The sequence below is a fragment of the Homo sapiens genome, chromosome 4, assembly GCF_000001405.40.
Source record: "Homo sapiens chromosome 4, GRCh38.p14 Primary Assembly".
Lineage (NCBI taxonomy): Eukaryota > Metazoa > Chordata > Mammalia > Primates > Hominidae > Homo > Homo sapiens.
Genome location: NC_000004.12, coordinates 37,665,563 through 37,688,601, shown reverse-complemented (window position 1 = coordinate 37,688,601; position 23,039 = coordinate 37,665,563). Strand labels below are relative to the sequence as shown.

Here is a 23,039-nt window from a genome sequence, read left to right as displayed (position 1 = left end):
GGGTTCACGCCATTCTCCTGCCTCAGCCTCCCGAGTAGCTGGGACTACAGGCGCCCGCCACCACGCCTGGCTACTTTTTTGTATTTTTAGTACAGATGGGGTTTCACCGTGTTAGCCAGGATGGTCTACGATCTCCTGACCTCGTGATCTGCCTGCTTCGGCCTCCCAAAGTGCTGGGATTACAGGCTTGAGCTACTGCGCCCAGCCAAAAACGATCCCATCTTTTTAATACTAAGTCCAATCTGTGGGAAAAGAGTGAAACATGATTCAATTTTGAAATGACATTTTACATTTTGATTAGATTTCTTGATTCAAGCATTTTGTTACATTCTAACTTACAAAACCAGAGCTGGCTTTATAAGTGTGTGACCTGTGCAACTGTGTGTTTAGGAGGGCTCCACAATCGATTTAATGTTGTGTTGTTGCCATCTTGAAATTCTTAACGATTTTTGAACAGAAGGCCCTGCCTTTTCATTTTGCATTGTGCCCTGCAAATTTTATAGCTGGTTCTGGCTACAACTTCTAATTTATAGTTTAATTTCTAGGTCCGGGATTCTCTCCTGTTTTAGTTAGAAATCCACATGGATCGCTTTCCTCCGCACACATTCTCAATGTTTATGTTGATATAAAACTAGCAAAGGCTGCCTGCTAAGACTGCCAGACTGTAGGATGCGCTGCCAACTGAGCGCAGGACGCGCAGTGCCCTCCTTGGGCTTCAAAGGGCAGGGGCTCCATCCTTCAGCCTCAGCCATCTGTACTGTAGTGGCCTGAGCTTCTGTCACTGGCAATTCCCACATCAATGCAATGTTTGTAATAATAGTCCAGCAGACTGCGTGGAGGACTCGGTGAGAGAATAAATAGTCCTCTGAAAACTAGAGGTTATCAGTCACCTCAAGGATGAGACCCATCCTGTGAAAACCCACAGCCTCCATGCACCCCCTCTTCTTGCTGGTGTTGAGTATTTGCTCAAGTCCTGCCCTAATTTCCTTCAAGCAAATGCTTGATGGCCCAGTAACAACAGTCTCTACAGGGCAGTAAAAAGGAACTATTCAGAGAGAGCCTCTGAGTCCTATTAATGCTTGTGAAGATGATTCAACTTCAGAAAACACTTCTGACCTCTTAGCGTGTGCTGTCTGTCCTCCATCCAGGCGCTGAGGGCACAGCAGCGAGCAAACACAATGACAATGAGATAATTACAATTTATCATGGTGGCCCAGACATCGTGGGTTTACTCCCTGGCCTCTAATAGTCACCTCGCAGAGCTGATGTGAGGATGTGAGGAGATAATAAGCGTCTGGGCATTGAAAGACCTACTTTGCGGGAGTATGCGCAAGGTGCAATACAAGCACACGATTAAAAAAAAAAGGCAAGTTGTTCCTGAAAATGCATAGAGGTATTTTCCCCAATAGGAGCAGCTTAAATGCAAACAAACAGAGGAAGAAATTTAAGTTATCTTTTCTGCTAATTTCCAAACAACAGAACGTGACATCCAGCACAGCATCACTCCCTAGATCTGCAACCGAGGGGAATGCTAGTGGATAGACATGCCAACAGCGAAAAAAGCCTGTGCTCACTCCAGTGCTGGCCGCTTCTGACTGTCCAGTGCTTCTCGGGGCGCGCTCCCTCTTTCTCTTCCCACGCCCGCCTAGTCCCAGCGACCGAGGGAGGTTGCACCCGGGCGACCCTCCCCCCGCCCCGGGCTCCCGCGTAATCCCGGCCCGGCTTGGAAAGGAAGCGGGCCTGGCAAGTAGAGGCACGGCCGGGCCACGGTGGGCAGGGCGCAAGGGCGGGGCTATAGCCTAACTGCGCCGCCAAGGCTGCTGCTGGGTTTGGAAAGGAAGCGGGAGAGGAGGGGTCGGGCTGAGCTGTGGGTGGGGAAAAGGGCGGGGCCATGGATGGGCCACGTGCCTTCTTAGGTGGAGTCCGGGGCTCGGTAGGGAGAGGCGGGGCCAAGCTGAGGTGGGTGGAGAAAGAGGGCGTGTCCATGGCCTAGCTACGCCGCTGAGGCTGCTGCGGGGTTTGGAAAGGAAGCGGGAATGGCAGGGAGAGGCGGGATCAGGCTGAGGTGGGCGGGGAGTCGGGGGCGGAGCCATGAGTGGACCTCGTGCCGGCTTAGGTGGAGCCCGGGGCGCGCGGGGAGAGGCGGGACCGAGCCGAGGTGGGTGTGGCGTGGGGCGGGGCAATGGCGGGGCGGGGTTCGCCGCTCCCTGGGGCCCAGCCCAGCCACTCGATCAGCCCGCCGGCTCCGGAGCGGCTCTGCCTTCCCGAGCGCGGGACGCGGCGCCCTGGGGGAGGAGGGCGAAGCGACGCGGCGATGGCTCCGCGGGCACTCCCGGGGTCCGCCGTCCTAGCCGCTGCTGTCTTCGTGGGAGGCGCCGTGAGTTCGCCGCTGGTGGCTCCGGGTGAGTGTCCGGTCGTAGCCGGGGCGCCGGGTGCTGAGCCCGGTCCCGGGAGCGCGGAAGGAAGCGAGGGGTCGGGACGGCAGCCCCGCGGCGTCCTGCTTTCTGGCACAGCCGCGGGATCCCGGCACTGAACAACTGGCTGTCCCGCGGCGGTCCGGGCAGGGCGCGGTGCGTGGCAACGGCTCCCGTCCCTCCCCTCCCGCGGGCCCCGCTCCCGCCTTCCCTCCCTGGGGCCTCCTCCGAGGATCTGTGTTCCCCAGCGCTGGGCAGTGCGGGGCGTAGGGACCAGGCCTTCTTCGGGGGCGCTTCCTCCACGGCCGCTCGCCTCGGAACCCCGCGGACCCGTTTCCCGCCGCCCTTGTCCTCAAAGGCGCCGCGAGCGGAAGATCGTGACACAGAGCACCGGGTGCGCTGTCGGCGCCTCCTTCTCCCTTTTAAATACCTTAAAATATCCTAAAACCTGGAGGACTTTGAATCTCTTTCCACGTTTCCATTTATTTGGGTGGTTGATGGATTCTTGTAACAGGTCAAGGAGTCCACATTTCTTCCCATATATCCTGTATAAATCAGGCTCGGAAAAAGGGAAGGCGCGTTGGTAAACTTACATTTTTTTCTTCTTTTTGTTGATTCCTGTCGTCACGAAAGGAACCTTGTGTGGTCAGGGCAGGAAGCCACCAACAGAGATGCTAAAGTGTCACCAACGATGAAGCAGTTTTTAATTGAAATCAATCTTAAGAGGAGGTGTAAGTTTTATGGAAGTCCTATGTCACATCCTTGCTTTTATAATTACAGACACTAGGGATTCCTTACCACCGCTTCCCCTCTTAATTGCCACCTAACAGCTGCAGTTAAAAAAAAAACATACTTACTTGGCCATTTGGGGTTACTACAGCTGGGAATCTGACGTCAGCAAGCTCTTCCAAGCTTGATTTCAGCGGTGGTTCCTCCTCAGGCCCAAATAATAAGCAACTGGAAGCCTTTCAACAGTGACTGTCTCCTCCATAAACATCCATAAACTCTTCCTCCTGAGAACATTTCAGTCGCTTACAACTTTTACACTGACTTAGCAGTTTGGCCTTCACTTTTTCATAGAAACCAGAGCAGGTTGGAAGGGAAGGAGATGGATAATATTGTCTCCTGAGTCTTTTTAGCAGGCCCGTATTTCCGTTAGCCATCCACCTGGGGAAATGGCAGCTAGTGACATGTTTTACTGGATGGGACAATTTTTTTTTTCTTTTCCTTATTTTGATACAGGGGCTCATTTTGTCACCCAGACTGGAGTGCAGTGGCACAACCTCGGCTCACTGCAACCTCCAGCTCTCTGGTTCAAGTGATTCTCCTGCCTCAGCCTTCTGAGCAGCTGGGATTACAGGCATGTGCCACCATGCCCGGCTAATTTTTGTATTTTTAGTAGAGATGGGGTTTTGCCATATTGGCCAGGCTGGTCTCGAACTCCCGACCTCAAGTGATCCTCCTGCCTCGGCCTCCCAAAGTGCTGGTATTACAGGCATGAGCCACCATGCCCTGCTGGTTCATTTTGATTTTCATCCTGCGTTTGATTGCTGGGACACATAGGTGCATAATCAGGTTCCACTTGGATGTGAGGTTGGAGACATTCATTAGAGGGTTAGAGTCAGTTGCAACAGAATCTGGGGAAGAGTTTAATCTGGGAGTAAAATTATTAAAAATTCAGCACATGATGCATGTAATTAGCCATCATCAGCAGGAGAAATCCATCCCTAGAGTGGGTGTGTGTTTGGTTTGACCTCTGAGCAACACCCAGGTCTCAGGACTAGAATGTGACTGATGAAAGCTCTCATCTAATTGCATGACAGCCTTTTTTTTTTTTTGATGAAAATTAATGCGGAAGAAGAAACAGGTGTCTAAAAAGGAAAGGATACAGAGCACAAATTTGCCAGTATCTTGAGGCGTGTGTAAAGAGAAGATGCTCTGACCAGCCAACATCTGATCCCCTTGCAACCAAAGATGGTGTTAATGTTTGTACCTTGAGCATAGGGAAGTAGAGGGAAAGGAATGGGAAATACTGTTGAGTGCCTGCTGTGTGCCAGGCTTTGGGTTGAGTACTTTGTATGCATTTTTATTTTTATTTATTTTTTTCTTTTTGAGACGGAGTCTTGCTCTGTCGCCCAGGCTGGAGTGCAGTGGCGCGATCTCACTGCAAGCTCCGCCTCCCGGGTTCACGCCATTCTCCTGCCTCAGCCTCCAGAGTAGCTGGGACTACAGGCGCCCGCCACCATGCCTGGCTAATTTTTTATATTTTTAGTAGAGACGGGGTTTCACCGTGTTAGCCAGGATGGTCTCCATCTCCTGACCTCGTGATCCGCCCACCTTGGCCTCCCAAAGTGCTGGGATTACAGGCGTGAGCCACCGCGCCCGGCCGCATTTTTATTTGTTTATTTATTTTTATTTTTATTGTTTTTTGAGACAGAGTCTTGCTCTGACTCCCAGGCTGAGGTGCAGTGGTGCGATCTCAGCTCACTACAACCTCCACCTCCCAGGCTCAAGCAATTCTCCTGCCTCAGCCTCCCTAGTAGCTGGGATTATAGGCGCCCGCCACCATGCCTGGCAAATTTTTGTATTTTTTAGTAGAATCGGGGCTTCCCCATGTTGGCTATGCTGGTTTGTAACTCCTGACCTCAAGTGATCCGCCCTTCTCGACCTCCCAAAGTGCAGGGATTACAGGTGTGAGCCACCGCGCCCAGCCTTCATAGGCATTTTTAAACTCATTGCTCATAACCCTGTGAAATACTTACTTCCAGTAAGGCAACTGAGGCAAGAGAGGTTAAACAACTGGCTGAACATCACATAGGTACTGTGCCAGTCAGCATTCAGAGAAGCAGAACCACTAGGAGGTGTCTGTGTATGTGTGTACCTTTATATGTATCTTTATCTGGGATAACCCAGCCTGCTTGATTCCAAAGTTCATTCCCTTTCCACTGTACCCCACTGCTCTGCAGAGGAAAAATAGAATATGAGTCAACCTCTGCAATCTCGCTGAGATTCTAAGATAGTTTAGAACGTCATAAAATTGTAAGCATGTGGTTATCAGAAGTTGTCAAGTAGAGAAAAGAAGGGCAGATAGCTTCACGGTGGGTAGTGGCAATGCCTTTTTCACTTCCTTCCTAGTAGAAGAATCTCATTAAACTTGTCTCTTAGCAGCAGCATTCGAAACTATATACCACAAGCACCCAAAGGGATGATTTTCCACGTCTTGGCTTATTAATGTCCTTAAGTTCTCTGGTTACTCAACCTTCAGGTTTATTAGTTTCTCTCTCAGACAGTGGGCATAGCCCTCGAGTAAGGAGTGGGTGGAAGAGGTCCTGGGGCTGGTGAGATGAAAAATGCATTGTCCTTGGGCTGCAGGCTTCCCTCCAGCATTCTGACTCCTTTTTAGAAACTAAAGATAAGCTTTATTAAATTCTGGGGTCTCTCTTAGCCAGGTAGCTGCGAAGCTGTACATCCACATAATATATAGTGTTTGGAAAGTTTTGAAAAAGCACACCTTGGAGCTTGGGAGTCCATATCTACATTTAATTTTAAAAGGAAATGAAAAATGTGAGAAGTCTCTGTCAATTCCCTGCCCCTACCCCCTCTAAAAATGGAAATGAAATGAATCTATTTGGAAATTTGAAGAGTTGAATTTGAATGTGAGAGACCAAAGCCCCAAGTGAACAAACAACAGATTTTATTGTTTCTTTAAAAATGATTCTTTGGCCCTAATGTTGAAGTTTAATGACTTATTGAAACAATAGAGAAATGATTTAAAGCTGACAAAAAGAATAAATTAAATTGTCATTGGTATAAACTATTAGGTTGAGTGGTTCCTAATAATTTCGGACACTTAAGTGGTTGTAAAGATTTGGTGTGCTGCTGAAAGCGGGTATATTAATAATTCTGGTGTGATTTATAAAAACTAAAATCAGAATTTGGTGTTAGTACACTGTAGACACTTTACTCTTTTAGGAAAAAGGAATTCAATTTTTATTATTACCTGGTTTGTGTGCAGGCGGTAGTCTAAATACCTAGATCATTTCATTCTTACAATTAATTTCCTGTCAGTTATATACATAATTTTATTCCTGTGTTTGTAGATGAGGAAATTGAGCCTCAGAGAAGTTGAAAAAGTCACTCATGTGTAAGCTGGATTTTGTCATGGAGTCCATTGAGTCAGATCTGTTTGATTTTGAAGTCCATGCTTATTATTACTAAACTATTTTTTTGAGTAAGAAAATTCTTTTTATTCTAACATATTTGTAAAGAATCAGTAAGTAACAAGGTCATGGGATGCTATGGTGGAAAGAGCACCAAGCCTTAAGTCAGGGCCTTGGACTTGAAGTCAAAAATCAGAAGGAAGCCGGGTGCAGTGGCTCACGCCTGTAATCGCAGCACTTTGGGAGGCCAAGGCGGGCAGATCACGAGGTCAGGAGTTCAAGACCAGCCTGGCCAATATGGTGAAACCCCGTCTCTACTAGAAATACAAAAATTAGTTGGATGTGGTGGCACATGCCTGTAGTCCCAGCTACTGGGGAGGCTGAGGCAGGAGAATCACTCGAACCTGGGAAGCGGAGGTTGCAGTGAGCTGAGATCGTGCCACTGCACTCCAGCCTGGGTGACAGAGCAAGACTCCGTCTCAAAAAAAAAAAAAAAAAAAAAAAAAAAACAGAAGGAGACCCTGATGCCTGCAGCATATGGTTCTGTCCACCTCCATTTCCTCACCTGTAAAATGGGCATTGTGCCAACACCTGTCTCTCTGTCCTACTGGCTGCTCTGTCTTACTGAGCTCTTGTCTCTGAAAGTTCTGGGTAAATGGCAAAGTGGCATATATCTTTTATCCTGTGTATCTTTAAAAAATATAGTATTTTTTCTCCAGAGTGCGCATTAGGCTTGATTTATATTACGTCATTTAAACTGTCAAATAAATGTGGACCACATATATTAAACAGTTTTTATTCTGGAGGTGGTGATAGCTTTGCAATGATAGGGATTTTTAAAAAGCCCAGAGTGACACCTCAGATTAGAGTTTGCTACTGTTGCATAGGAGTTAAGTAGCCAAGCCATCTTTTCTCATTTCCCTTTAGCTAAAATACAGTGCACTAGGTATTTTTGGAAAATTTCCCCAAAGATCTAAAGTTTGTGGGAGGAAGGAGCGAGAATCACCCTTGATTCCATTACTCCAAGGCACTAGCCATTGTTAGCATATTTCATTCTGGTCTTCTCTAATTGCATTTTTTTTTTTTTTTTTTTTTTGAGATGGAGTGTTGCTCTGTCACCCAGGCTGGAGTGCAGCGGCGCGATCTCAGCTCACTGCAAGCTCCGCCTCCAGGGTTCATGCCATTCTCCCGCCTCAGCCTCCCAAGTAGCTGGGACTACAGGCGCCCACCACCATGCTTGGCTAATTTTGTTTTTATATTTTTAGTAGAGACAGTGTTTCACCGTGTTAGCCAGGATGGTCTCGATCTTCTGACCTCATGATCCGCCCGCCTCGGCCTCCCAAAGTGCTGGGATTACAGGCATGAGCCTGTAATTGCGTTCTTAACTCGCATAGGTTCTTTAATTGCATTTTTAACTCGGATAGGTTCATAATGCAATATAACTTTGTATCATGACTTTTTCAGTTTATGTTACACAGAAATGTTTCTCTATTTCCCTATACACCCAAAAAAGGGCTGCCTACTGTTCCACTATATGGATTCACTGTATTTTACTTCTATGTATCTATTTGGGAGATTTCAGTTGCTCATTATTTTTAAGTGAGTTTTAAAACTCATTTCAATGAATGCCTCTGTGCATGAAACTTTGCCTAAATATCAGAGGACTTCCACAGAAAATGGGTTCCTGAAAAGGCACTTTGAGGGTCAAAGATGTTCACATTTTTGAGGCAATTGATGACATCAGTGTTGATCTGAAGGTCATCCCAGGTTACATTCTCACAGCAATAGCCAAAAAGACTCAATTTCATATTCTTGTTATTTTCTCTGAAAAACATATTCGCTAATTTGTTAGGCAAAAATTGGTACCTTGATTGTTTTAATTTGTACATGGTTGGTAACTATCAGGTTGATTTTGTTTTCTTCTAGTTTTTGAGCCATTTGCAAGTGTGTAATCCTTTATGGATAATTCTGAAATGTAAAAAGCTCTGAAAACAAGTTTTTCTTGTAGGCTTTTGATACCCTCTGTAGGTTGTAAAACTTAACTTGAACTAATGTGAGGTTTTTAATTTTTTTTTTGAGATGGAGTCTCTCTCTGTCTCCCAGGCTGGAGTGCAGTGGTGTGATCTCGGGTCACTGCAAGCTCCGCCTCCCGGGTTCAAGAGATTCTCCTGCCTCAGCCTCCCGAGTAGCTGGGATTACAGGCATGCACCACGCCCAGCTAATTTTTGTATTTTTAGTAGAGATGGGGTTTCACCATATTGGCCAGGCTGATCTGGAACTCTTGACCTCATGTGATCCACCCACCTCGGCCTCCCAAAGTGCTGGGATTATAGGGATGCACCACCACACCCAGCCTAATGTGTGGTTCTATGGTATATATTATTCTATCTTGACTATTTGCATGTTCTGCTGAATAATATTAATGAATTTGATTTGAGTGTTACAGGTTGTGCGCTAAATGCATTGCATTACCTTCCTAAAATCACAAGGTTTGAACTTTGAAGCACATCTGACTTCCAGGTTTTCAGATAAGGGATTATGGTCCTGCATTTTCGCTTCTGTGACTCATTTATTTGTGTCTGTTAGGAGGCAAATATAAAACTGCTCAAAGTAGCAAAATTTCCAATGGGGAAAATAAGTCCTCAAATGAGTGACACTTCAGAAAAAGAAGTACAACTTTGGTACTCTAGTGTGAAATCTAAGAAAATAAGGGTACCCCCAAAAAACTAAGATTTTGTTTATTCCAAGTGACTTTATGAATGGGTGCCAATTAGAATGGAAACTTGTCGGCTAGATGGAGAGTTTGGGCCAAATTTCTCCTCTGCTTTCTTTTGCCAGTTACTAACACAGTTCTCTTTGTAAGAGAAACTGAATCTACCCAAGGGATTTTCTGGAGGATGGATGGGTAGAGGGGCCGGACATCTTACCTTGGGGATCCTTTTGCCAAACCTGTTGAACTCAGAGGACCTGGTTTTCCATTCCCACCTGCAATACCCCAAGGCCCCCGGCTTCTTCTCTTTACTTGATAGCACTGTCCCAGGATCTCAAACAGAGAGAACCCGCCAGCCAGGTATCTCCCATTTCCCTTGCCAGCTGCCAGCCCTACCTGATCCTCCTCTCCCATTTTGTTTGTGCACTCTTGTGGATAACTGCATTCCAGCCACTAATAAAAGTGCCTGTTGTACAGAGAGAAAAAAAATCTTTAAATTACTTTCCTTATCGGTATTATAGAGAGAATATGGCTGAGCTGCCTCATAGCATTGTTGTGTCAGTTATGTAAGATAAAACTAGTGAGTGCTTGGCACACAGTAAGTGATGAAAAAGTGTATTATTATTATTGCCTAGGCTAAACCAGATACTAACCTATCACAGCTAAAGAATGAGACAAAGTTCCTAACCACTCCAGAATTTTCCTTTTTGGGCCTCTGCCATTACTTGAGGGGTTTCCTGTCACCTGTTGCTCCTGAGCCCTGGGTGCTGGTTGTGTAAAGGGCAGAGGGGGCTTTGAGGAGGGGATGTTGGGCAGTGCCCGAAGGAGTAGGGTCTGATGGGCTTGGCAGAGTTCTCTTGGGAGGCAGGGGATTTGTGGGGCAGAGCCATTAGCCACCAAAACTAAGCAAAGAAGGAAGGAAAGCATTACCTTTATAAGGTGATATAGTCTGTATATTTGTCCCTGCCCAAATTTCATGTTGAATGGTAATCCCCAGTATTAGAGGTGGGGCCTGGTGGAAGGTGATTGGATCATGGGGGTAGATTTCTCATGAATGATTTAGCATCATCATGAGAAGTGCTGCCCTCACGATAGTGAGTGAGTTCACAAGAGATCTGTTTGTTTAAAAGTGTGTGGTACCTCCCCCCCAACTCTCTCTTGCTCCTGCTTCCGCCATGTGATGTGCCTGCTCCTCTGTTGCCTTCTGCCATGACTGGAAGCTTCTGAGGCCTCCCCAGAAGCAGATGCCACTATGCTTCCTATACAGCCTGCAGAACTGTGAGCCAATTAAACCTCTTTTTTTAAAAAATAAATTACTCAGTCTCAGGTATTTCTTTTTTGGGGGGACAAGGTCTTGTTCTGTTGCTCAGGCTGCTGGAGTGCAATGGTGTGATCTCGGCTCACTGCAACCTCTGCCTCCTGGGTTCAAGTGATTCTTCTGCCTCAGCCTCCTGAGTAGCTGGGATTACAGGCACCTGCCACCATGCCCGGCTAATTTTTGTATTTTTAAGTAGAGACTGGGTTTCACCATGTTGGCTAGGCTGGTCTGGAACTCCTGACCTCAGGTGATCCACCTGCCTTGGGCTCTCATAGTGTTGGGATTACAGGCGTGAGCCACCGTGCCCAGCCTCAGGTATTTCTTTATAGCAGTGCAAGAATGGCCTAATGTGTAGGGTAGAGCATGACATTTTCTTCTGGAAGAACTTTGGAAGATTCACCAATTGGTTTATTCTTAGATAGCTGATCTATAGGTGTAGTCACAAAATTGTGACAGTTTTTCTTTAGTATTTGATGTAGATTTGATGATGACATGCTTTGTGATTATCCAGGGTCTGAGTGCTTATTGTTCATCTTCTCGTGGCTCTTTGATGAGTGTTTCAATGAATGAGACTCTTAGGAGGAGGAAGCAGAGTCCTGTAGTATTAGGGCTGGAAGAGACCTTGACTGTGTCCTCCAAGCTTTTATTTAGCAGATGCAGAAACTGAGCTGGCACAGCCAGGACTTAAGTGAGTGTCTTTCCTCATTCTGGGACTCTTCCCATTCTGTTAGACTGTCTATGGAAGTGGATCCAGCCTTGCTGCCTATGGCAGGTTTCCTTGATCTACATATGCCCTTGATCCTCATGCTCAAGGGCCTGGTTTCTCAGCTCCTTGGATGTAGGATGAGGAGGACTAGGAAGAACTTTGGCTAACTGACTCATGGGAGTAATTGTGTTATTCTTAGTCATATTTTAGATTCAGAAGGGACTTTGATGGTCATCTTGTAATTAACACCCTCTCTTTGCAGATGGGGAAACTAGCCCAGAAAGGTTCGGTGTCCTGTAGGAGTCAGGAGTGGCTGTAGCCCATAGCAGATGAGCAGACCTTTAGGTTTGGTGAGGGAGGGACTACGTGTATGTCTTGTTCGCCATTGTAGGCTCAGATCCAAGCACAGGGCCCGGAATAGAGTAAATATTTAAATATTTAAATGAGGGAAGGAAGGAAGCCAGAGTTAGAATTCAGGTGTTAGGACTCTTGGTCCAAAGCTTTTTCTTTATAATAAAGTGAAGAGTTACTGTTTCCAATATTCACCCACAAATCTTAGATGTAAGCCTCCCCACAGCCCTTCTCTTGCACTGGTGAGAGGCTGTTTTGTCTGCCAGCCTCTGTGGGCCAAATTGCTCCAAAGGCAGAAAAATCTGGTCATGGAGGAAAAATGAATGATAATGACAAACAAGCAATACTGCCAAGAATGATAATAACAAACAATCAATACTACCTTATCAGGTGATATGGTGTGACATTGGTAGCATTTTCAGTGCAGAGATTTTCGAAACCCAAATCTCTTCATGAAACTCTTCTCAAAGACAAACTAAACTCAGCTGTGTTTCTACAACCGGTACTTCAAATGCATCTGTTAATTGTATATGTATCATATTCCTGATTTTATAGTACTTTATACTATTCAAAACCAATTGTTTCGTGGCTTCTTTGATTTACTTATTTATCCAACAGGTATTAACAAAGTACCTTACAGTGTGCAAGGCTCTGAGAATGAAGTGATGTGAACAAAATAGACTCAGTACCTGCCTTTATGGAGCTAGTAGGTTATCAGGAAGGCAATTAAACAAGCAAAATGACATGCCCTGAGTACCTTGTCAAGGAAAGTATGACACAGGGCCAAAATACCTAACCTAGGGCTGGGGTTGGGACATGCATGGACAAACTAGACTCCAGTGCAGGTTGGGCATGCTCTCTGGAGGAAATGAAAGTGAAATTTACAGCTGCAAAAACTGCAGGAGTTGGTCAGGTGGAAAGAACTTGTGGTCACCGAAGAGAGGAGGTAAGATCAAGCAAAGCAACAGCAGTGGTTCCCAAACTTGAGTGTTCAGAAGTCCAGCTGGAAGGCTGGTTAAAACAGATCTCTGAGCCCCACCTGAGAGTGCTGAGTCCATAGGACTGGGATGGGTCTGGAGATTTGCTTTTCAACTCTCATGTTTCCAGGTGATGCTGGCTAAGTATCAACTGTGAGCAGGGGAGTGAAAGAGATAAGAGTAGATGGAATCCCCTCTCCTCTTCTTGGGGCTGTATGTATCCTGTCCTCTGACCATCCTTCAAGCTGAGATCAAGGATAGCATTTCCAGGAAACATTTCCTAGGTATTCTCACTGCCTTTATTGCCTCCTGTGAATACACTGTCCACAAGTCTATGGATACATGTTGCATCTTTTCCATGTTATTTAGCCCTCAGTTACATGCAATTGTTTCCACCATGTTTGTTTTGTCTAACTAGAGCTTCTTGAGGCAGCTGAGCATATGAAATGTGTACAAAATATTTGATTGCCTGATCAAATTTAATTCTTGCAACCACTGTGTGGAGCAGGTTGCATGTTATTCTCTGTTCTGTGGAGATGTGGAAACTGAGACTTACAGGGAATAACCAAGATGAAGAGAAGGGGAATTTCTTGCTCAAGTCAGAGGAGGGGAAGTCAACGTGAGGTGTGTGTTCATTGTTCTCAAATGTGCTTTGCATTATGTGAAATTGCAGGTATTCGGTGCCCAGCACCACTAGTAGAAGGAAAGTTTTATATTTAATTTGTTTTTGAGCTTTTTCACTATAGGTTCATCTTCTTAAAGAGAATACAAAGGCATCTTATAAATTGAATGTAGATTTTGTTTTTAGCAGGAGATGATTATCTTAGGAATTCTACAGAAATTGTCCACTTGCTTTTAGAGTAAATATTTGGAGGGGGTAATTCAGTTTACATGTCATTAGGCTTAGAAATGATTTTTATAAAATTTTGGCATGAGGGAGATACAACATATCAATTTCAATTTCCTGAAAAGACACACATTAGACAATTATGCTATTACCAATCTTTGAGTGGCTAGATGGATTTTGCTGCATGGTTGAAGACTTACAAAGAGCCTGTACATAGCACATTCACAAGACAGGTAGGGTTAAAAACTAACTAAAAAGAATTCCTTTCGATACCAATAATCTGCCAAGCCTTCCTTCCCCATGCGTAGATGTAAACATTATCTGGTTTTCTCAGATTCCTGTAAGAGGTGGAAGTTTGAAGAATTCACTGGGCTTTTGTATCACAGTACAACTTGGGAACACTAATTTTCAAATGTTCTAACAGTTCTTCATAGCTGGAAGTCCCCAACACAATTATGTGAATTATCCACTTTATAAAAAACAGCTGCCCGGAATTTCCTGGCATTGGTGAAGTGGCAGATGGCTAATGAGCAGGCGTTTCTTCATTTTTCTTTGCAAGTTTTTTCTATATGCTCGTACGGCCTGAATGCTTTTACTGCTTCCTCAGTTCTTTCCATCCTCCTTCTAAAGGCAAAACACAGAACAACCACCAAAAGAAAAAGGGAAGCATTGGATATTGTTTAAAGCTATGTGATAGAGCCAAGAAGCTGGGTTTTGAAGGTGAAACTCATTTCACAGTCGTGATTGTCAACTCAGCCCTTTTTAATAGTCATTGCAGGTAAAACTTGTAGATCATTCTTTACAGTGTGCAGTTAATTTAAAAATGAGGTTTCTCTTATTTGAGATATCGTCAGGTGCTATGTAGGTATGTAAAATGAATAACAAACTTCTTTTTTGTTCTCCACAAACTTGTGATTGAGAAGGGGGAGATAAGCTATGAATACAAATCACTATAGTATAGTAGAGAATGTGTTTGGTGTAATCAGAGAACTACAGACAAAGTGCTGTGTGGGATCAAAGGGAGGGAGACTTTCCTTCTGATAAGGGCGATGGAAAAGACTTCATTCATAGCCTGAAACTTGGCATTTTCAGTGGACCTTAAAAGGGAGTGTATGGAATGGTGTGCTGAGCAAAGGAAACAGCCTGTGTGCAAAGGCATGGAGGTGGGAATAGAGAAGTTAATGCAGACTGGGTGTGGCAGAGACTCCTCAGTGGAAGTCATGTGAGATGAGGCTGCAGAGGGGAGACTGAGGTTAGGCGACAGAGCCCCTGAAACTGCACTTTACTGTGTAGTTGCGGAGGATAGGGGACAACAAGAGGCCCCCATGCATTTCCATGTGATAGAAGAGCCCCAGAGGCTGAGCCGAAAGGAGACAGGGCCCTGTGCTGTCAGCAGGGCAGTTCAGATTGCCATTCCCATTTCCTTATCTGCAGAAGTGTAGGTGGTAGGGAGGCAGAGGGTGAGCCATCAAACATAATACAGTCCTTTGTAAGTAACACAAATAGGATCTATGCAGCAGAATAGATTTAATGCAATCCATATGATATGCAGATAGAAACAATTTTTCAAAGTTTAAGGAGTGCTGAGAAATGAGAATCATGAAGTAAGTGCTAAGTATATAGTTTTGGCCTAGTGTGGTGGCTCACGCCTGTAATCTCAGCACTTTGGGATGCTGAGGCAGGAGGATCGCTTGAGGCCAGGAGTTCAGGACCAGCCCGAAAACCATAGCAAGACCCCGTCTCTACAAAAATAGGACAAAAATTAGCTGGGCATGGTGGCATGTGCCTTTCATCCCAGCTACTCAGGAGGTTGAGGCAGGAGGATCACTTAAGCCCAGAGGTGCAAGGCTGCAGTGAGCTGTGATAGTGCCACTGCACTCCAGCCTGGGCTACAGAGTGAAACCCTGTCTCAAAAAAAAAAAAAAAAAAAAAGAAAAAAAAAGTATATAGTCTTGATGGCTTGGTGGTGTGAAAGCCAAGGAGTGTTCATTAATGGTTAAAGCTCGCTAATTATGTATTTTTCTTAAGTTAGAGTAAATACCTTCAAATTATACAAATCAGCTTGTCTATTGAATTCTTGATTACAGGCATGAGCCACCACACATGGTCCAGACTATTGAATTCTCAACCATTAAACATTTATATTTTGGAAGTATGTTGGTATATTTTCATTTTTTGGCCCTACTGTGGGTCTTGTCCTTGTTTACTTCTCCTTCCCAGTCTGGAGGACTGTCAGTGTTAAGGCAATCTCTAAATAAACCATGCATATCAGCATTGGGATGATTTGTAAATCCTGCTTGGCTAAGGGCTCCATCTCTGTCACTTCTGGTGAGTTTTCTCAGTCCCTTAATTTCTTATGATGTGATGAAATAGATTTGGGGGAAGGAAAACTAACCAGCTTCAAAGTAATTCAGTATACATCCAATGCCTACATATTATGGAAACAGTAGTTACACAAACTAAGTAGATCTGGTGGATCTTAGTTCCTGGGTGGGTGGGAGGGATAGGGATGGAGAAGACTTGAAGGAGGGAAAGAGAATTCTTTTGCATGAACCATATGGTAGTTGATCTGTTGCCGCCACAAACCTGTGATTGAGAAGGTTGATCTTTTCTACACTGGTTCAGTGCTGCATCTTGATATATTAGTGAGTAAAGACTCTTGACTTTGAGTCAATGTGGTGTAATACAAATGATATATTTGATCTTGTCCCTGATTCCTGGGACTCCTAAAAATAACCCTTGGGATTTCTTGAGTGATAGGAACATTTTTTGTTACTCATAATGAGCTCCTTTAGACCATACCTGAGTTTGTGCTAATGTGATCCTTGGACTCTTGGTGGGCCCCCAGGTAGCTACGGGATGGGGACTAGTTGCCGGAGGAACCAACCATGTGATTACAGGGTTAGAACTTTTAGCTGCAATCCCTGATCTCTGGGAAGGGAAAGGGGCTGGAGATTGGGTTCACTCAACAACAGCCAGTGATTTTATCAGTCAAACCTGTGTGATAAAAACTTGGTTAAAACTGCAGCAAGGAGGCTAGGAGCTTCTGGGTTGGTGACATATGGATGTGTTGGGAGGATGGTGTGCCTGGAGGGGGCTTGGAAGTTCTGTTTTCGTGCCTGCTCCCCAACCATACCTTGCCCTATGAATCTCTACCATTTGGCTGTATCTGAGTTGTATGCTTCATAATAAAACTGTAATCATAAGTGTAGGGATTTTCTGAATTCTGTGAGTCATTGTTGCCCAAAAGAGTCCCGATCTTGACCCCAGAAGAGGGTTCTTGGACCTCGTGCAAGGAAGACTTCCGGGCAAATCCGTAGAGTAAAGTGAAATCAAGGTTATTGGAAAGTAAAGGAATAAAGAATGGCTATTCCACAGGCTATTCCACAGCAGCCCTCGGGGCTGCTGGTTGGCTATTTTTATGGTTACTTCTTGATTATACGCCGAACAAGGGGTGGATTATTCGTGAGTTTTCCAGGAAGAGGGTGAGCAATTCTCAGAACTGAGGCTTCCTACTTTTTTTAGACCATATAGGTAACTTCCCAACATTGCCATGGCATCTGTAAACTGTCATGGTGCTGGTGGGAGTGTTTCTTAGCATGCCAATGTATTATAGTTAGCATATAATGAGCAGTAAGGATAACCAGAGGTCACTTTCATTGAGTCTTGATTTTGGTGGACTTTCACTGGCTTCTTTACCACACCCTTTTATCAGCAAGGTCTTTGTGACTTGTATCTTATGCTGATCTCCTATCTCATCCTGTGACTTAGAATGCCTAACCTCCTGGAATGCAACTCAGTAGGTCTCAGCCTCATTTTACCCAGCCATTATTCAAGATGGAGTTATTCTGGTTCAAACGCCTCTGATAATTCTAGCAAAATGCCAAACTTATTGAGGGGGGTCATGGAAAGCCCCCAATTTGTAGTCCCTAGGCAGAAGTGCAGTTAGCCTGGGGACCCCATTTGCGGCTGGCATCTGAAGTGGGGTCAGTCTTGTGGGATTGAGTATTTAACCTGTGGAGTCTGCACTAAATGCTAGGTGGTATCAGAATTTAATTGAATTGTGGGACACCCGGTTGGTGTTGGAGAACTGGGTTTAGGAAAAATGGAACAGACAAGTCTTTCCTATTGGGAAAAACCAACTCATAATATGAAAACGTTGGGGCTGGAATAATCTCTCTGAAATTGCATAGTTTACTATTTAGAAGATAAAGGCTCAAAAGTGTTTTTAAAAGATTTAGTGGGGCGGCCGGGTGCGGTGGCTCATGCCTATTATCCCAGCACTTTGGGAGGTCAAGGCGGGCAGATCACGAGGTCAGGAGATAGAGATCATCTTGGCCAACATGGTGAAACCCTGTCTCTACTAAAAAAATACAAAAAATCAGCTGGGCATGGTGGCACGTGCCTGTAGTCCCAGCTACTTGGGAGGCTGAGACAGGAGAATCACTTGAACCTGGAAGGCAGAGGTTGCAGTGAGCAGAGATCACACCACTGCACTCCAGCCTGGGCCACAGAGTGAGACTCCATCTCAAAAAAAAAAAAAGATTTAGTGGGAAAGAAAAAAAATTATCAGGCTGTTCTTTACTATTTATGTGTTTACATTGTGTTTTATAGTGTAATAAAGTAGAAGTTATACTACTATATGGTTTTCTTTGACTCTTGTTTCCTGTGGTTTTCACCAAAGATTTCATAGCACTGTCTCTGCCTCCAACCAATGGAAACATCTAAAATGTCAATATGATGGATTGTAGGTTTAGTAGTCTCTTTACTAAGGGATTTCCAGTATCCTGGTTTACCGCTGTCTACACTATTAATATTACTCTGACACTACAGTGACAATTTCATATGGTTCAACCTTATAGTAATGATGGCTCCTCATTGACTGTTACTTACAGTTAAAAAAAAAAACTATCGATTATGATCAGGACATTTTAGAAACTGCAAAAAGTAGAAAAAGAGAAAAAAATGCCCCAGAGTTCCAGCAAGAAAACATAAATGTTAATTATACTTGGGAGGTATTTTTTTTAACAGGTTCCTTTTTTTCTTTCTTTTTTTTTTTTTTATATTTATTTATTTATTTTTTTATTGATCATTCTTGGGTGTTTCTCGCAGAGGGGGATTTGGCAGGGTCACAGGACAATAGTGGAGGGAAGGTCAGCAGATAAACAAGTGAACAAAGGTCTCTGGTTTTCCTAGGCAGAGGACCCTGCGGCCTTCCGCATTGTTTGTGTCCCTGGGTACTTGAGATTAGGGAGTGGTGATGACTCTTAACGAGCATGCTGCCTTCAAGCGTCTGTTTAACAAAGCACATCTTGCACCGCCCTTAATCCATTTAACCCTGAGTGGACACAGCACATGTTGCAGAGAGCACAGGGTTGGGTTGGGGGTAAGGTCACAGATCAACAGGATCCCAAGGTAGAAGAATTTTTCTTCGTACAGAACAAAATGAAAAGTCTCCCATGTCTACCTCTTTCTACACAGACACGGCAACCATCCGATTTCTCCATCTTTTCCCCACCTTTCCCCCCTTTCTATTCCACAAAACTGCCATTGTCATCATGGCCCGTTCTCAATGAGCTGTTGGGTACACCTCCCAGACAGGGTGGTGGCCGGGCAGAGGGGCTCCTCACTTCCCAGTAGGGGTGGCCGGGCAGAGGCGCCCCTCACCTCCCGGACGGGGTGGCTGGCCGGGTGGGGGGCTGACCCCCCCACCTCCCTCCCGGACGGGGCGGCTGGCCGGGCCGGGGACTGACCCCCCCACCTCCCTCCCGGAGGGAGCGGCTGGCCAGGCAGAGGGGCTCCTCACTTCCCAGTAGAGGCGGCCGGGCAGAGGCTCCCCTCACCTCCCGGATGGGGCGGCTGGCCGGGCGGGGGGCTGACCCCCACCTCCCTCCCGGACGGGGCGGCTGGCCAGGCAGGGGGCTGACCCCCCCCCCCACCTCCCTCCCGGACGGGGCGGCTGGCCGGGCAGAGGGGCTCCTCACTTCCCAGTAGGGGCGGCCGGGCAGAGGCGCCCCTCACCTCCCAGACGGGGCGGCTGGCCAGGCGGGGGGCTGACCCCCCCACCTCCCTCCCGGACGGGGCGGCTGGCCAGGCGGGGGGCTGACCCCCCCACCTCTCTCCTGGATGGGGCGGCTGGCCGGGCAGAGGGGCTCCTCACCTCTCAGACAGGGCGGTTGCCAGGCAGAGGGTCTCCTCACTTCTCAGACGGGGCGGCCGGGCAGAGACGCTCCTCACATCCCGGACGAGGCGACAGGGCAGAGGCGCTCCCCACATCTCAGACGATGGGCGGCCGGGGAGAGACGCTCCTCACTTCCTAGATGGGGTGGCGGCCGGGAAGAGGCGCTCCTCACTTCCTAGATGGGATGGCGGCCGGGCAGAGATGCTCCTCACTTTCCAGACTGGGCAGCCAGGCAGAGGGGCTCCTCACATCCCAGACGATGGGCGGCCAGGCAGAGACGCTCCTCACTTCCCAGACGGGGTGGCGGCCGGGCAGAGGCTGCAATCTCGCCACTTTGGGAGGCCAAGGCAGGCTGCTGGGAGGTGGATGTTGTAGCGAGCCGAGATCACGCCACTGCACTCCAGCCTGGGCACCATTGAGCACTGAGTGAAGGAGACTCCGTCTGCAATCCCGGCACCTCGGGAGGCCGAGGCTGGCGGATCACTCGCGGTTAGGAGCTGGAGACCAGCCTGGCCAACACAGCGAAACCCCGTCTCCACCCAAAAAATACGAAAACCAGTCAGGCGTGGCGGCGCGGGCCTACAATCGCAGGCACTCGGCAGGCTGAGGCAGGAGAATCAGGCAGGGAGGTTGCAGTGAGCCGACATGGCAGCAGTACAGTCCAGCTTCGGCTCGGTATCAGAGGGAGACCGTGGAAAGAGGGGAGAGGGAGAGGGGGAGGGGGAGGGGGAGGGGGTTCCTTTTTTTCTGTGCATACCTCCTCCCTTTTTTGAAAAACATTTTGTGATTTTACTGTGAATAATTAAAATAAAAGGAAATGTGGGGAATGCTAAGACACAAAACACTAAAGAAAAAAAATGACTTATAATCTTACCACTTTGATAACATTTTGATGTCTTTTTTTTTCTTATAAAAACTGGGACCATTTAAGCTCTAAATACTGCTTTGTATGTGTTTTTTTTTCACTTAACATTTTTCATTCACAATTGAGATCATTTTGGACAAAGTGGGTGATGACAAATCTGATCCCTTCATACAAAGTGTTTCTATTGTTTTAAGAGTGCAAAGGAAGTTTAGGATTTCTGAGAAGTAACCAACTGTTTCATCAGTGTTATATGTAGATCAGGGTAGCATTTTAATTTTGTATCTTACAAATGGCAGCAGAATTACTTTTTAACAATTAGCACTTGGTTAAAAAAAAAGATAAATTGACTTGGAAAGAACGTAACTTTTAAATGTACCTTCTCTTCCTAATAACTGACTCACTAGGAAATGCCATTCTGTCATTGTAGATTTATTGCTGTGTTACAGGGATAATGATTATCTGTAGGTTTTCTACCTTCTCTAACTCTACTACGTGAACCCTGTAGTATCTATAATAGAGATGAGCTATGGAGAATCCCATTCCATGGACTTTTACTGAATGTTGAAACTGTGAGCCCTCACATTTCAGCAGTAATGGAGCAGAGTGTGGAGTTCTGGAGCCAGGCTGCCTGGATTAAAGTCACCTTTGATACTTGCTACCTGTGTGACCTGGCATAGGTTACTTAACCTCTCTGTTCTGTAGTTTTACATCTTTAAATGGGGCTGGAAATAATAGAAGCTACCCCATAGAGTTATTGTAAGGATGAAATGAGTTAATATCTGAAAAATGCTTGAAATAGTAACTGTACACATTATACATCAATATGTGACTATTATTAATAGTATTTTTTTCTGTGTGTCTCACTGGTTGCTACTGGTTTTCAGAGTTCTTGTTTGGGTTTCATGCTAGTGACATTCATTTCTCTTCTTTAACATTGACTTCCCTACGTCTAGGGTTTTCCTGGTTACTTCTGTTCAATCTTTCCTTCGTTTGCCTTTTCTGAAGTGACCTTTATTTTCTTTCCTACTCCCTCCTTTACTTTGCCCTTTCTCTAACAGCAGTAGCGGGGACTTCACACCAGGGGACTTCAGCCGGGACAGATCCTTGGAGCTCAACATTTACTCACCTTCCTTTTCCAGTTCCTATGTTCTCAGAAGCCAGCCCACGTGCCTGTCTTGCAGGAACATTGCCCGACCTAACCTGTGACTAATTGGAAAACCCTTCGTTTAGGACTTTTGTAGTTCTCTGTTTAGTCATTATCTGCTTCCTGTTCCTGGAAGGAAGAGAAACACTGGCTTGCATGTGGGGATGTGGGTGCCTGCCTGGCCTTGTGGTACCACCTGAGCAGTGCTGTGTGGTCGCTGCTCACTCACCCCCAGGGCTTATCTTTTCTGCACCCCACATTTAACACTGCCCCTTCCAGCCCAGCTCATGTGATTCCTTGTCCTTTTCTGGATGTTTGATTTTATATCCCCAGCTGAGCTGTGAGCTTGGTGAGGATAGCAACTGCTTTGCTCTTATTACCACAGATAATAATAATCACAGCAATAATGGCTAGCATTTATCAAGTCTTAACTTGGATAAACCCTAGTAATCTCATATAAGGCTTAGAAACTATTATTATTTTATGGATGAGGAAACTGAGGCACAGAGATGCTAATTGACCTTGCCTGGGGCTTCACAGCTAGGAAACAAATTGAACACAGTGCAGCCAAGAAAAAAGCCAGTTTCTGCTTTTGCTTCCATGCTTCATAGGGAGTAGTCTTGCTTCAGAGTTGGCCCTGCGTGCAACAGACCTTGGTTCAAATGTTGGCCCAGCCATTTCCCAGATGAGTGACTTCAGCTTCAATACTTTGTTCTTGATCATCTCCATTTCTAAGATGGGTTTAATATTAACACCTATCTCAGAGTTGTAGAGATAAGAAATGATAATGTAAGTAAAAATTCCAGTAAAGGTTAGTGGCTGTTAGCAGTTGGTGGTAAAGTAGTTGAGCATCCTAGAGGCCCTGGATCTGGAAATCATAAACCCCCAACACTCCACAGGGGCATCAGTCACCATCTCTCTTTCTCCCTCTGCCTGGTCGGGTGCTGGGCCAGTCTTCCTTTCTGACGCCCTTGCTTCCCTCCAGCCAGCTCAGCACCACCCATTTTTTCCCCATGTGATTAGTTTATGTCCTATTCTGCAGGGTAGAAATGACTTGGCTGGACTTCTAACCCTGACAGGTGCCAGTTGTGCCCAGAAACCAGGGATCTAGCTCCCCAAGGACTGGTTTCCTGCACCAGCTCTCTGTAAGCTTCAGGGAATTCACTGATTTCCTAAAGGAGCACCCCTTTGACCCCATTTCTTCCCGTTGCTACTGGAGACAGGCTGAGATGGCGTGTTTCCTCCTATTTGATGGTTTTTTTCTGGCCCTTGCTACTTAGACTTCCTCCCATAGTTTAAATAATTTCTAACCTAGTTCTTGGTTGGCCTCTTGCAAGGAATATACATGAACAGTTCTGTTAGGACT

At 45.9% G+C, this 23,039-nt stretch overlaps 1 protein-coding gene across 8 annotated transcripts in view, besides 6 other annotated features; it reads left to right on the top strand.

Annotated features, from left to right (window-relative positions):
- Positions 1,528-1,837: a silencer, noted in NCBI's record as "silent region_15349". NCBI's record gives its function as "represses an Ori minimal core promoter by ATAC-STARR-seq in GM12878 lymphoblastoid cells {active_cell/tissue: GM12878}" and the evidence as "EXISTENCE:reporter gene assay evidence [ECO:0000049][PMID:35858748]".
- Positions 2,018-2,687: a silencer, noted in NCBI's record as "silent region_15348". NCBI's record gives its function as "represses an Ori minimal core promoter by ATAC-STARR-seq in GM12878 lymphoblastoid cells {active_cell/tissue: GM12878}" and the evidence as "EXISTENCE:reporter gene assay evidence [ECO:0000049][PMID:35858748]".
- Positions 2,226-23,039, top strand: part of RELL1 (RELT like 1) — a 100,073-nt gene continuing 79,259 nt past the window's right edge. For all 8 annotated transcript variants that reach the window (XR_007057961.1, XR_007057960.1, XR_007057958.1 and 5 more), the window contains exon 1: positions 2,226-2,402. Coding sequence is in view for 2 of the 8 variants with exons in the window: in NM_001085399.2 (NP_001078868.1) it covers positions 2,315-2,402 (88 nt within the window). In the remaining 6 variants the exon portion in view is untranslated. The remainder of the gene's footprint in view (positions 2,403-23,039) is intronic.
- Positions 5,779-5,828: an enhancer, noted in NCBI's record as "active region_21416". NCBI's record gives its function as "activates an Ori minimal core promoter by ATAC-STARR-seq in GM12878 lymphoblastoid cells {active_cell/tissue: GM12878}" and the evidence as "EXISTENCE:reporter gene assay evidence [ECO:0000049][PMID:35858748]".
- Positions 12,414-12,623: an enhancer, noted in NCBI's record as "active region_21415". NCBI's record gives its function as "activates an Ori minimal core promoter by ATAC-STARR-seq in GM12878 lymphoblastoid cells {active_cell/tissue: GM12878}" and the evidence as "EXISTENCE:reporter gene assay evidence [ECO:0000049][PMID:35858748]".
- Positions 21,334-22,533: an enhancer, noted in NCBI's record as "P300/CBP strongly-dependent group 1 enhancer chr4:37667691-37668890 (GRCh37/hg19 assembly coordinates)". NCBI's record gives its function as "activates an origin of replication core promoter dependent on BRD2, BRD4, P300/CBP, MED14 and CDK7 cofactors, with strong dependence on P300/CBP, by STARR-seq in HCT116 cells {active_cell/tissue: HCT116}" and the evidence as "EXISTENCE:reporter gene assay evidence [ECO:0000049][PMID:35650434]".
- Positions 21,494-22,051: an enhancer, noted in NCBI's record as "H3K27ac-H3K4me1 hESC enhancer chr4:37668173-37668730 (GRCh37/hg19 assembly coordinates)". NCBI's record gives its function as "activates a minimal SCP1, AML or CMV promoter by ChIP-STARR-seq in naive H9 embryonic stem cells {active_cell/tissue: H9 hESC(naive)}" and the evidence as "EXISTENCE:reporter gene assay evidence [ECO:0000049][PMID:30033119]".